Source organism: Homo sapiens, chromosome 8, assembly GCF_000001405.40.
Source record: "Homo sapiens chromosome 8, GRCh38.p14 Primary Assembly".
In the NCBI taxonomy this organism is placed as follows: Eukaryota; Metazoa; Chordata; class Mammalia; order Primates; family Hominidae; genus Homo; species Homo sapiens.
In genome coordinates this window covers 140,224,259-140,237,495 of record NC_000008.11, presented here as the reverse complement: position 1 = coordinate 140,237,495, position 13,237 = coordinate 140,224,259, and the positions used below count along the sequence as shown (strand labels likewise).

The 13,237-nt window shown below is 43.6% G+C and overlaps 1 protein-coding gene across 18 annotated transcripts in view; it reads left to right on the top strand.

Moving 5' to 3' along the window:
• TRAPPC9 (trafficking protein particle complex subunit 9) overlaps positions 1 to 13,237 on the top strand; it is a 730,855-nt gene that overhangs the window by 221,084 nt on the left and 496,534 nt on the right. The gene's annotated exons all lie outside the window — the stretch shown is intronic.

Sequence of the window (13,237 nt, the reverse complement as noted above, 5' to 3'; positions counted from 1 at the left end):
GACTTACAGTTTTTCAAAGCACCCCAAAAGATTCTAATGTGCAGCAAAGTTTGGGAACCACTGGTATAGACTGTCTTCTGCTTGTTTTCTTGAAAAACTCTTACTCATTCTCTGAATCTCAAGGCAGTTGTTCCAAATTCTGGGTTTCTCCAGGCAGACCTAGTTGCTGCTTATTCTCTGTTCCCTGCGATGATGAGTTTTGAGGTCTGATGGGGCAAGTCTCCCTACTAGATGATTGTTCAGGAGCTTTTTGGATGTTCTTTGTCTGATGATCTTCCACATCAATTTTATTTTATTTATTTTTTATATTTTTTTGAGATGAAGTCTCACTGTTTCGCCTAGGCCAGAGTGCAGTGGCATGATCTCGGCTCACTGCAACCTCCACCTCCCAGGCTCAAGTGATTCTCCTGCCTCAGCCTCCTCAGTAGCTGGGACTACATGCGTGTGTCACCACGCTCAGCTAATTTTTTTATTTTTAATAGAGGCGGGGTTTCACCATGTTGGCCAGGCTGGTCTCAAACTCCTGACCTCCGGTGATCCGCCCTCCCTGGCCTCTCAATTTCTGGGATTACAGGCATGAGCCACCACGCCCAGCCCACATCAATTTTAGAATCAGTTTGTCAAGTTCCTCAAAGCAGTATGTTAGAATATTGACTGGGACTGCATCAAATCTATAGATTAATTTGGGGGAGAAGTGACGTGTTTATGGTGGTTAGTCTTCCTATCTATGAATATTGTATGTCTCTTCATTTATTTTTCATTTTAAATGTCTTTCAAAAATATTGCCTCATATTCTCTATAAAGGTCCCACAGATTTTACTAGATTTATTCCCTGATATTTTTTGTTAAGTGGTGTTTGAAGTCTTTTTTTATGGAAGTGTAACTTACATACAGTAATGAACACAAATGTTAAGTTTATAGCTTGATGAATTTTTATGTTCATATGAATCTATGTAAACACCCAGCTCATGATATAAATAATTTTCAGCACCCTCCAGTTCTCTTGAGACCTGTGGCAGTCAATAGCTGCCCACAAAGATAATTGTCAATTATGACTTCTATCATCATAAATTAGTTTTGTTTTTACTTAAATTCCGTGTAGAAGAAATAAGTGACTGGGCACTCTGGCTCACGCCTGCAATCCCAGCACTTTGGGAAGCTGGGGTGGGTGGATCACTTGAAGCCAGAAGTTCGAGACCAGCCTGGCCAACATGGTGAATCCCCATCTCTGCTAAAAATATAAAAATTAGCTGGGCATGGTGGCACACGCTTATAATCCCAGCTACTTGGGAGGCTGAGGCAGGAGAATCGCTTGAGCCTGGGAGGCGGAGGTTGCAGTGAGCCAAGATCACGCCACAGCACTCCAGCCTGGGTGACAAAGTGAGACTCTGTCTCAAAAAAAAAAAAAAAAAAAAAGGAAATACAGTGTACTTTCTTTTGTTTTCTTTTTTCCTTTGGCCTAAAGTGTCACAACTGTATACTCTTAATGTCTCCCTGTTAGAAGTCTGAAATCAGTGTCTCTTGTTTTTTTCCTTCTTCCTCCACATGATATCTGAGATGCATGCATATTGTGTGTTGCATTTGTTCTTTTTTATGGCTGGATGGTATTGCGTGAAAATACTACAGTTTATTCATTATACTTGTGATGAACATGTGGGTGGTTTTTACTTTTGGGCTGTTATGAATGATGCTGCTATAGACATTCTTGTGCATGTATTTGGTAGACATAAGCTCAGGTTTATGTTGGCTTTAATAGATCCATAGCCAAACAGATTTTCAAAGTGGTTCTTGGGATTTCTGTACATCCCAGCACTATGTATGAACTCTCTCTTGCTCCAGCTCCTCGCCACCCATTGGTATTGTCAGTGTTTTAAATTACAGCTGTTCTGGTCTACATGTGGTATTGTCTCACTGTGGTATTAACTTGCTTTTCCCAAGTAGCCAGTGATGTTGCACATCTGTTATATACTTATTATTTGGATATATACTTTTGTGAAGTGTCTATTAAAATATTTTCTTCATTTTTTTATTGGGTTATTTACCTTCCAACTGATTTATAGTAGTACTCAACATATTTTGGATATTAGTCCATTGTCAGCTATGAGTATTGCACACATTTTAGATTCTGTGGCTAGGCTTTTTACTTTCCTGATGTTGTCTTTTAATGAAGAGAATTTATCAATTTTTTAAATTAGATTTCTTAACTAAAAATTATAAATTTTCAGCCAGGCATGGTGGCTCACGCCTGTAATCCCAGCACTTTGGAAGGCCAAGGCAGGTGGATCACCTGAGGTCAGGAGTTAGAGACCGGCCTGACCAACATGGTGAAACCCTATCTCTACTAAAAATACAAAAAACTAGCTGGGCATGGTGGCAGGCGCTTGTAATCCCAGCCTACTCGGGAGGCTGAGGCAGGAGAATTGCTTGAACTGGGGAGGTGGAGGTTGCAGTGAGCCAAGATTGTGCCATTGCACTCCCTCCTGGGCAACAAGAGTGAAACTCCAACGCAGAAAAAAAAAATTGTAAATTTTCTTAGATTTCTTAATTGTATTATAATTATTTTCCTCTTGGTTAGCACTAATTTTTGTTTAGGAAATCTTTACTTACATCAAGGTCATGGAAATATTATGTTTTCTTCTAGAGAATGTATTGTTTTAGTTTTTGCATTTAGGCCTATGAACCATCTTGAATTAACTTGTGTGTGTAGTATTGTGTGGCACATATTAAGTACTCACAAGTATTTGTTGAATAGAGAGCAGGAATTATAGAAGATTTGGAATTATGTCATACGGTCTTAAATTATGGAAGTAACTAATTCTTAATGTTCTCTTCTAATCAGGTAACAGGACTTACACAATTTCCTTCTTTCTGGGTTTTTATAAAGTGGGGCACGGTTTAGCAAAGAAAGCAGTCATAGTTCTTTTTTTTCTCTGTCTTCCTCACAAATACTTATTGCATATCTGTTTTATTCCATGCACTCTGCTACTCTTGGGAGTGTCTAGATTAAAATAAGACACAGTCTCTGCCCTCTAGGAGCTCAGCGTCCAGGGTGGCACCATCCACAGAACTTTCTGTACTGGAGGGAATGGCCTGTGCAGTACTGTCCACCATGGCAGCCACCAGCCACATGTGGCCTTGGTCACTTGAGACATGGATGGTATATCTAAAGCAGCAGTCCCCAGGCTTTTTGGCACCAGGGTTGGGTTTCATGGAAGACAGTGGTTTCTGGATGAAGTTGTTCGACCTCAGATCATCAGGCGTTAGATTCTCATGAAGAGCGTGCAACCTAGATGCCTCGCGTGTGTATTTCACAGTGGGGTTTGTGATCCTATGAGAATCTAATGCCTCTGCTGATCTGGCCCTCCACTCACCTCCTGCTGCATGGCCCAGTTCCTACAGGCCACGGACTGGGGGTTGGGGACCCCTGATCTCAATGACTCATTATTAATTGTATTTAATTTTAATTACTTTAAATTTAAGTACCCACATTTCTCTAGTGGCTACTGTATTAGCATAAGTCTAGTGAGAGGGATAAGCAATTTCACAAATAAATGAAAAATTATAACTGCTAAATGCTAGGTACAGAATATGTGATGCTGTGAGTATATAATCAGGGTTCGACTTAATTTAAAGGGCTGGGAAGGCTTTCTCTGGGAATAATTACTGAGGTAAGATTTACAGAAGGGGCAGGACTTAAATAGGTGAAAAGGGTAGGGTAGGAAAAGGTTTTTTTTTTTTTTTTTCTTTTAATGTGTGTGTAAAAACTCTGTGGCAGAAAAGAGCAAAGCCAGTTCCAGGGACTGAACATTTGTGTGTGTGGTAGGGGAGAGAGAGGGTGTGTTTATGTGTGTGTGTGTGTGTGTGTGTGTGTGGTGGGGAGAGAGGGAGGGAGGGAGGGAGAGAGCGAGAGAGAGAGAGAGAGGAAGTGTGTGTGTGAGAGAGAGAGGAAGGGAGGGAGGGGAGAAAGAAGCCTTTATAAAGTTAGTCCTTGAGGCTGGGCACGGTGTCTCACACCTGTAATCCCAGTACTTTGAGAGGCTGAGGCGGGTGGATCACGAGGTCAGGAGTTCAAGAGCAGCCTGGCCAAGATGGTGAAACCCCGTCTCTACTAAAAACACAAAAAATTAGCTGGGCGCGGTGGCAGAGGCCTGTGATCCCAGCTACTCGGGAGGCTGAGGCAGGAGAATCGCTTGAACTCGGAGGGCAGAGGTTGCAGTGAGCTGAGATCGCACCACTGCCCTCCAGCCTGGGTGACAGAGTGAGACTCCGTCTCAAAAAAAAAAAAAGTCCTTAAGAAACTTAGGCCATAGGAGTTAAAACTAATTTGTGCAGAAGAAACATTTTGAGGGATGATGGGGTGAGCCTTTACTTTGGAGACTTTTAAAAATCAATGCTCTACCTTGAAACTGTCAGCTCTGTGATTTCTTTGATTCGGCTGACTGTTTAATGAAGAGATAATGGCTTTGCCTGTCTTTTAGGGATGCGCAGTGCTTTGGTACAACTGTGAAGAACACACGAAACACTCAGATTATACTTTGAATTTCTAGTTTCTAAAAGGAGAACAAGCACATGTCACGCTTTGGCTTGGGAAACCACCATTCTTCCTTTATTATCCTATGAAATAGGCCTTCTACTTTAATCTCAAACTGACAGTGTTCTGGTTTTGTTTCCCTGATTTTTATCCTAAAATAACGTATGTTAATTGAGCTATTTCTGTGGCTTTCTTTGGGGAATTGATGTTCATTTATTTGTGTTTCTCTTCAAGTAGAAATGGAGTAACACGTATAAACAAGATACAAAAGACACAAAACCTGGGGTGGAGGCATAAGAGGATTGGAACCTCCGTGCTGTTGAGATCGTCACTGTTGATGCGCAGTGACGTTGAATGTCTTTCCTCAGGTCAGAGGGGCCGGGGCTTCGACTCCATATCTAGTGCTCCTTTCAGCAAATTGCTTCTGGGCAAGTGAAGAGAACACCTTTAGGACTTGAACCCAGACCTGCATGTCTCTTAATCCTTTGGGACTTCATCCAGTGACTCTGCTCCGGGCTAGGGTAATAGAGAGAGAAAAGGACAAAAGCAGTTCATACTACCTTGTGAGGAAGCCAGGTTCCCCCAGTTCCTCCTCCCTCCACTTGCTCCCCAAGATCTTGGCCAAGAAGTTACCTGCCTTCTGCTTGGCCAGTTCTAGTGACAAGGAACTCATTACTCTTTAAAGCAATCCATTCTGGCATTCTTATACTACAGAGAAGTGATTTATGGTCAGGCGCAGTGGCTCACACCAGTAATCCCAGCACTTTGGGAGGCCAAGGTGGGAGGATCGTTTGAGCCTAGGAGTTTGAGCTTGAGCCTAGGAGTTTGAGACCAGCCTGGGCAACATAGCAAGACCCATCTCTATTTTAAGATGTTTTTTTAAAAAAAACAGGCTGGGCACAGTGGCTCACGCCTGTAATCCCAGCACTTTAGGAGGCCAAGACAGGTGGATCACCTGAGGTCAGGAGTTCGAGACCAGCCTGGTCAATGTGTCAAAACCCTGTCTCTACTAACTGCTAAATGCTAGGTACAGAATATGTGATGTTGTGAGTATATAATCAGGGTTTGACTTAATTTAAAGGGCTGGGAAGACTTTTCTGTGGGAATAATTACTGAGGTAAGATTTACAGAAGGGGCAGGACTTAAATAGGTGAAAAGGGTAGGGTAGGAAAGTGTTGTTTTATGTGCGTGTAAAAACCCTGTGGCAGAAAAGAGCAAAGTCAGTTCCAGGGACTTAACATTTGTGTGTGTGGTGGAGGAGAGAGAGGGGCCTCTACTAAAAATACAAAAAAAAAAAAAAAAAATTAGCTGTGTGTGGTGGTGCCACACCTGTAATCTCAGCTACTTGGGAGGCTGAGGCAGGAGAATTGCTTGAACCCAGGAGGCGGAGATTGCAGTGAGCCGAGATTGCACCACTGTAATCCAGCCTGGGCGACAGAGCAAGACTCCATCTCAAAAAAAAAAAAAAAAAAAAAAAAAAAAAGAAAAGGCAGTGATTTACTAGCAGTTTTAAAAAATAATCTTTGGATTTGAAAGCCTAGCAACAAACTGCTTTTCTCTCTTTTTGCTGGAAGATGGTCATTTACTTATTCATTCATGAAGTCATTAATTCACAAAGTCATTCATTCATGTCCTTATTAGGTGCTTTTCAGTGCAGGCATACAGTTCTTGGCTGCCACATGACACAACTTCAGGGAGTGTCCTTGCATCACTGTCCCTGGAAATGCTGGCCTCGGAGGCGTGTCCTGGGCTTCCCATGTGCCGGGCAGCACCTGAGGCTGCGAGGCATTTCTTATCACAGAGGAACTAGGAAATGACATTAGCTCATTCATTCACCCAGCAAATATCTTTCTCCATAGCTACTATGTGCTAGGCACTGTGGCAAACTATTTGGATACAGACTTTAAATGCAGGCTTCCTGCCCCTAGCACTCTATGGTCTAGTAAAGATGTCAGTGCAGGTCACTGTTGTAAGCGCCCAGATCCAAGTCTGACTTCCTGTGTCAGTCAGAGGGACCCCCTAAAAGGGGTCCTAAAAGCCCCAGCCACAGTTTCCACTTCTCTTGATGATTTCCGCAGAAGAGGGCCTACCCTCCAGGACCGATCCCCAGTGCTCACAAATGCCTTCCTTACCTGTGGCTGAGTCCTCACCTGCTTCAGTTTCATCCACTTTTTTTTTCTTTTTTTTTGAGATGGAGTTTTGCTCTTGTTGCCCAGGCTGGAGTGCACAGTGGCGCGATCTCAGCTCACTGCAACCTCCACCTCTCAGGTTCAAGCAGTTCTCCTGCCTCAGCCTCCCGAGTAGCTGGGATTACAGGCGTGTGTCAACCATGCCTGGCTAATTTTTTTTTTTTGAGATGGAGTCTCACTCTGTCGTCCAGACTGGAGTGCAGTGGCCCGATCTTGGCTCACTGCAAGCTCTGCCTCCTGGGTTCACATCATTCTCCTGCCTCAGCCTCCTGAGTGGCTGGGACTACAGGCGCCTGCCACCATGCCCAGCTAATTTTTTTTGTATTTTTAGTAGAGACAGGGTTTCACCATGTTGGTCAGGCTGGTCTTGAACTCCTGACCTCAGGCGATCCACCTGCCTTGGCCTCCCAAAGTGCTGGGATTACAGGCATGAGCCACCGTGCCCAGCCCTACTTCTTTTTTTTCTTAACCATCTTTAGAAGGGAAGAAAATGCAATAATATCCTTCTGCTAACAGGACTGTCCAGTGCTTTAAAAGTGCTTTGTAGTTGGTTTTCTGTGTGGCCAGTGTCTTTGTCCAGCAAAGGAGATCATTCTTACCAGCAGGTGCCACATGCAGTCTTGGTTGGACGTTGGCTCTTGGAGCATGTTATGTGCTTGTGCCTGTTGTGAGATGGCCTTGCTGCTGTGTGAATGTTTACATTTCCCCTGGCAGGTGACAGTCTGGACTCCCTGTGAAATGACTGGGAGGAAGTGTCTGTCTGTGTGCACTGCCATGTGGAGTTATCTGGGACCCTAGAAGGAAATCTCACTCTCAGATTTTAGGGCTGCAACTTTAAAGGACCTTTTCTGCCTATGTGATGTTGCTTTGTACGTTTTAGAGGCCAAGGGAATATTTGGTACATTGAAAACATATGGAGGCCAGGTGTGGTGGCTCACACCTGTAACCCCAGCACTTTGGGAGGCCAAGGCTGGTGGATCACTTGAGGCCAGGAGTTTGAGACCAGTGTGGCCAACATGGTGAAACCCCATTTCTACTAAAAATGCAAAAATTAGCTGGGTGTGGTGGCGTGCGCCTGTAATCGCAGCCACTTGGGAGGCCAAGGCATGAACCTGGGAAGCAGTGGTTGCAGTGAGCCGAGATCGCGCCGCTACACTCCAGCCTCAGCGACAGAGTAAGACTCTGTCTCAAAAAAGAAAAAAGAGGCCGGGTGCGGTGGCTCACACCTATATATAATTCCAGCACTTTGGGAGGCCGAGGTGGGTGGATCACGAGGTCGGTCAGGAGTTCAAGAGCAGCCTGGCCAAGATGGAGAAACCCCATCTCTACTAAAAATACGAAAAAAAATTAGCCAGGCTTGGTGGCAGGTGCCCATAATCCTAGCTACTCGGGAGGCTGAGGCAGAGAATTGCTTGAACCCGGGAGGTGGAGATTGCAGTGAGCCGAGATCACACCACTGCACTCCAGCCTGGGCGACAGAGAGATTGTGTCTCAAAAAAAAAAAAAAAAAAAAAAAAAAAAAAAGAAAAAGAAAACATACGGAATTGACTAAAGCACAATGTTCGATGTATCTGCTTGCCTACTGCTTTCTGTGTTTCCCATTCTTTTCTACATCTTTGACCTTCCTTCTGAAATTATTTTCTATGTACCTGAAATATAATATTTAGAAGTCCCTAGTGAGAACGTGTTGGTGGTAGGTTCTCTTAGTTTTTAGCCAAAAAATGTGTTTGTCACCGTCATTCTTAAAAAAAAGTTCTGCATATACCTAAGTCTAGTGTAGCAGATGAATTTTCTTTCATATTTTGAAGATGAATTCTTATGACTTCCCTTGCTGCTGGGAGGTTAGCTTCTGGTCTAATCGTTATTCATTTGGATATAATCTCTCTTTTCTCTTTATCTTCCCCCCTACCCTCAAAGTGTGTTGTACTGTAACACAGTTGTACTACCCTTTTAGTTTTTAAAAAATATTTGTTGTGATAGAATTCACGTGAGGCACAATTCAGTCACTTTTAGTGTATCCACAGGGTTGTGCAATCGTCCCCACAGTCTAAGTTTAGAACAAGCTGGGAACCACCCAGAACATTTCACGTGTTCAGCTGGTAGTTACAGCCTCCTGTACATGGAGGCTTCTGATGTCAGTGAGGGCAGAGGACTTTACGTCTGGTCCCACTGCAGGGAGCATCCAACAGAAGGAAGACCAATCTCAAAGTGAGGCTGCCCATGGGGAATGTGGACTGTTGCCATTTGAATAGTATGTGAAGGCCACTATTCCTGTATGATTATTTTTTCTTTCCTAAGCATATTCCAAAGTTTCTGAATGAACGAGCATGCCGCTTTCTTTATGGAAATTAAGGATGAGTATTGGCTAATTTCTTAGCCAACTGCTTCTACTGCTTTGGTTTTCTTGAGGATATTTTATGATAACCAGATGGGCTTTTTTGGCACCTGTAGATTTTATGACTAAATGAGAAAGCATCTTTAAAATATATTCTACCTGGAACAGCATACCCTGACAAACTCCCACTGAGCGATTGTTGCCTCCTGTTGCCTTTGTTAATGTATTTTATTCTAGTTTATTTTTGGTGCCTCTCACAAGAGAGTAAAATGTATTCAACCTTATGCATTAGTGTCTCTTTTGAAAGTGTACCAAAATGGACACATCCCTGCATAGATCCCACCACTGGAGATAGATGCTAAGCCCCTGCAAGGGTCCTTGTGATCGGTTTAGTGGAACGCATGGTGTACAGTTTTGACCCAGTGATGTGCTACAGAACAACCTTGGCTGGTGAGCTTTTCTGGAAGCTCAGTGTGGGGACTGAAATGTATTCCTTGGGTCAGTTTTGCTGGGTAGTGACCAATCCAGTTGTCATGAGGCCTAGTTCTGGCTGTGCTTCTGATGAGCTGTGTGATATTGAGCAAGGTACTTACCTTCTCAGAGCCTCAGCTTCTTCATCTGTAGAATTGGTAAGAGAATGCCTGACTTTGCAGGGTGTGAAGAGTTGGATGGTGTGCACTGAGCGCCTGGTGCCAGGCCACGGACGTGGCCCTTGGCCCTCACCCCTTTCTAGAAGAGCTGTTTTTATTGTGACTCTGCTTTTTCTTTCCCCTGCACAAATTCTGCTTTCAGCTGTCATTTTCCCCAATTGTCATCATGGTTGGGATATGGCTGAATTCTAGAGAGAAGTATTATTTTAGCATACAAAATTGTCTTTCTGAATTTCCCACAGAGTTGCTCTTAATAGAAAAGTTGAGCACTATAAATGGGAAGTATGAAATTCTCTCTGAAAGCTCAGTTTTATTCATGATGATCTACCAGACTCATACCATTCTTAAATACCCTCTGTCCTGATAAATCCACTAAACTCTTTAGTCCTCCTACTAGGCCGCCTTCATCTGTTTGTAACTTTTTTTGTCCTGTCTTCCTATTAATTGTCATCCCAATCTGTTCTCTGTTCTATTTGTGATAGCCTGTGTTGGCAGAAAAATTGGCTAAATGATTGAACATAATTTTCTCCCCTCCACCCCACCCCAGCTGGAGAGAGATCCTTCCCAGGCGCGCCCAGTGATTTGCTTCCCTGCTCACGACATCTTATTCCATCTCATCTCTCGCCATCCCTCTGCAGCTGCCCCCTTCTCTCCAGCTCTGTTCCTGTATGGGCGAAGGGCTCAGCTTCAGTTTTCCGAAGGCTGGCTTCTGCCTCCTACCTGTCCCCATTTGTAATTTATATGCTTCTTGTGTTTTGTATCTTTAGTTGGATTTGAGAACAGACTTCTGTAGTCTATAAAGAATCCATGGAGTGGCTTTCTTAGTATTTTTCTGAGCTTGAAGATGACAGGTTTTGGGGGTTTCTTGGAGATTTTGAGGTCTGTGTCCAAAAAGGAGGCAAATTTCAGATGGAATTTTAAGACTTTTTTCTTTTTTTTTTTGCAAAGTGCTCATATCCCACAGCCTCCTAGTTCTAAAACATTGCTGATTTGTGTTTTTCTGAAGTACTTTTACATCAAATCTCATTGAGTTTTTTAGTTGGTTCCTGTTTTAGAGCCAAGAAAACTAAGGTTCATAGAGTTGTGTGTTGCCCAGGGTATCTCAATGTGTTGTGGAAGGAGGGTTGCAGGCAGGCCCCATACCTGGATCTTTTTCTTTTTTTTTTCCTTTTTCTTTTTCTTTCTTTTTTTTTTTTTTTGAGACCGAGTCTCTCCCTGTCACCCAGGCTGGAGTGCAGTGGTGTGATCTCAGCTTACTGCAACCTCTGCCTCTCAGGTTCAACCAGTTCTCCTGTCTTAGCCTCCCCAGTAGCTGGGACTATAGGCATGCACCACCACGCCCAGCTGTTTTTTGTATTTTTAGTAGAGATGGGGTTTCACCATGTTGCCCAGGCTGGTCTTAAACTCCTGACCTGAAGTGATCCGCCCACCTCAGCCTCCTAAAGTACTGAGATTACAGGTGTGAGCCACCACGCTGGCCCATAGCTGGATCTTTATAACGTGATTCAGAGGAAGACAAACCGGAGTCTTTTCTTCCTAGAATTTGTAAATCAAATCTCAAAGGAGGGCTTTTCATGTCCCTTCTCGTACCTTCTGTTTGTTCTCTGGATACACACTGTTGATGGGATGTTTTCATCTCTGGCCATGGCAGGATCAAGGCCAACCTTGATCCCACCAGAACCACATGGGATGAAGAAGGAGCTGCTCCCCAAAGAAACGAGAAATGCTGGGCAGACAAAAGCCAGATGTTCACTCTGCTTTCCTCTACAGGCCAAAACTTCTGACCATTTCCAGAAATGAAGAATTTACCATTGTTATAAGTGTAAAATAGGATTGGTATTTCCAAGGCAAAAACAAACAAACAAAAAGAATCTGGGTCCTTCAGGAGATAAAAGCGTTGGTGTAATTTGCGAAGGATGGGAGCCTTCCCTCGGGAGGAGCTGGCCAGGCTGTATTACGGGTCCTGTGTATATGTCAGAGAGAGGGGTGGAGATACAGAGAGACACACAGACACACACACAGATGAGATGGCAAAAATACCCCTTTGGGCACCTGGCCTTCACTCAACAGAGGACGGCTTACTGGGTGAAGTCACATTGAGTGGTCTTTCATACCATGCTTGCTTAGAGGTCCGCTTGACCTGGTTCCTGGGGTAACATGCTAGAGAAATGTGGAGTTTACGTTTTGCACATGGCTCTGTTCATAATACTAGTACCCTTCACAGCAGGCATTATGGTGTCGTGGAGAGATTTTATAAATTGTGTCCATGGTGCTGAGAGAAATGAGAAAAAAGAGAGAAAATAAACTCATTCAAACTTAACAGCTTTTGATTGAGTCTTTACAAATAAGTCTTCGCACATATCTACCTGATGAAATTTCAGTTAACCAGGAGTTGGTTGTTGAATGTGACTTTGGGATGATGGAATTTTTATTGAGCGTGTGTGTGTAAACTGTGTGCGTGTCAACTAAATACTGGATTTGACCCTGTAATTTATTCATTCATTTAGTTACTATTTACTGAGGGCTTACAATTTGTTAGAGCCTGCATCAGCTACTATGAGGGGCATAATGGTGAATCTGACAAGAATTCAGTCTTCAAGGAGTTTGTAGTCATGAAGGAATGTAAGACATGCATAATTTGCTGCAGTAGGAATAAGAACAGCTCTTTTTACTGAATGCTTGCCCCGTACCAGGCGTTGTGATAAATCCTTCCTATGCAATAATTCGTTTATTCTTCTGTATAACCTCACAGTATATGTGTTCTAATTATTCCCATTTAGGGGATGATGGATTTAAAGCTTGTAGAAGGTTATTTGACTTGATGAAGTTCATTCAGCCAGGTAGAAGGGGAGCCGCACCTCAGCCCCGACCCCTCTGATCTCCTACCGGGCTCTCTGCATGTATACAGATCAGCAGGAGGTAGGCACGGGTCTCAGGACAGAGAAGATGCTGGAACTCTGAGGAAGACGTACTTGCTTTCCATTAGGACAGCTAGGGGAGGCATTATGGAAGAGGTAGCATTTGAACTGAGACCAAAAATTGGGGCATATTAGGATATCAGATTGTCAGAGGGAAGAGAATTACCAATACATAAAGGTAAAAAAAAATGGGGGTAGAACAAGGAGTGACAAGGAATAAATTCTGGTAGAAAAATGGCCTACCAGTTGCAGGGACTGACATGGTTCAAAGCTGGGCCTTAGGCCCAGTGAGGGCTGCTTTATTTACGGTCTACCCTTTGCTTTGTGGCCCTACCTGAAGCTTCCCAGATTTGCTATCCACTCTCCATGGGGAACACTGAACACCACTGTTTTTCACATCGAGTCCTTTGAGTATGTCAAAGGTTCTGCTCAGATTCTGCTCAGATTCTCTTGGTGAACTCTTCTGAAATCTGCAGGCACCTCTAGGGGATGTTTGTCAGGCTCATGTCTCTGTCTTTCCCCCTCTGCTAGACAGTAGCCCTGTAGTTCTTGTTAGCTCTCTGATGCTTGCATGGATTTTAAGACTACTTTGTCCATGTTTTCTAGCTGTTCTC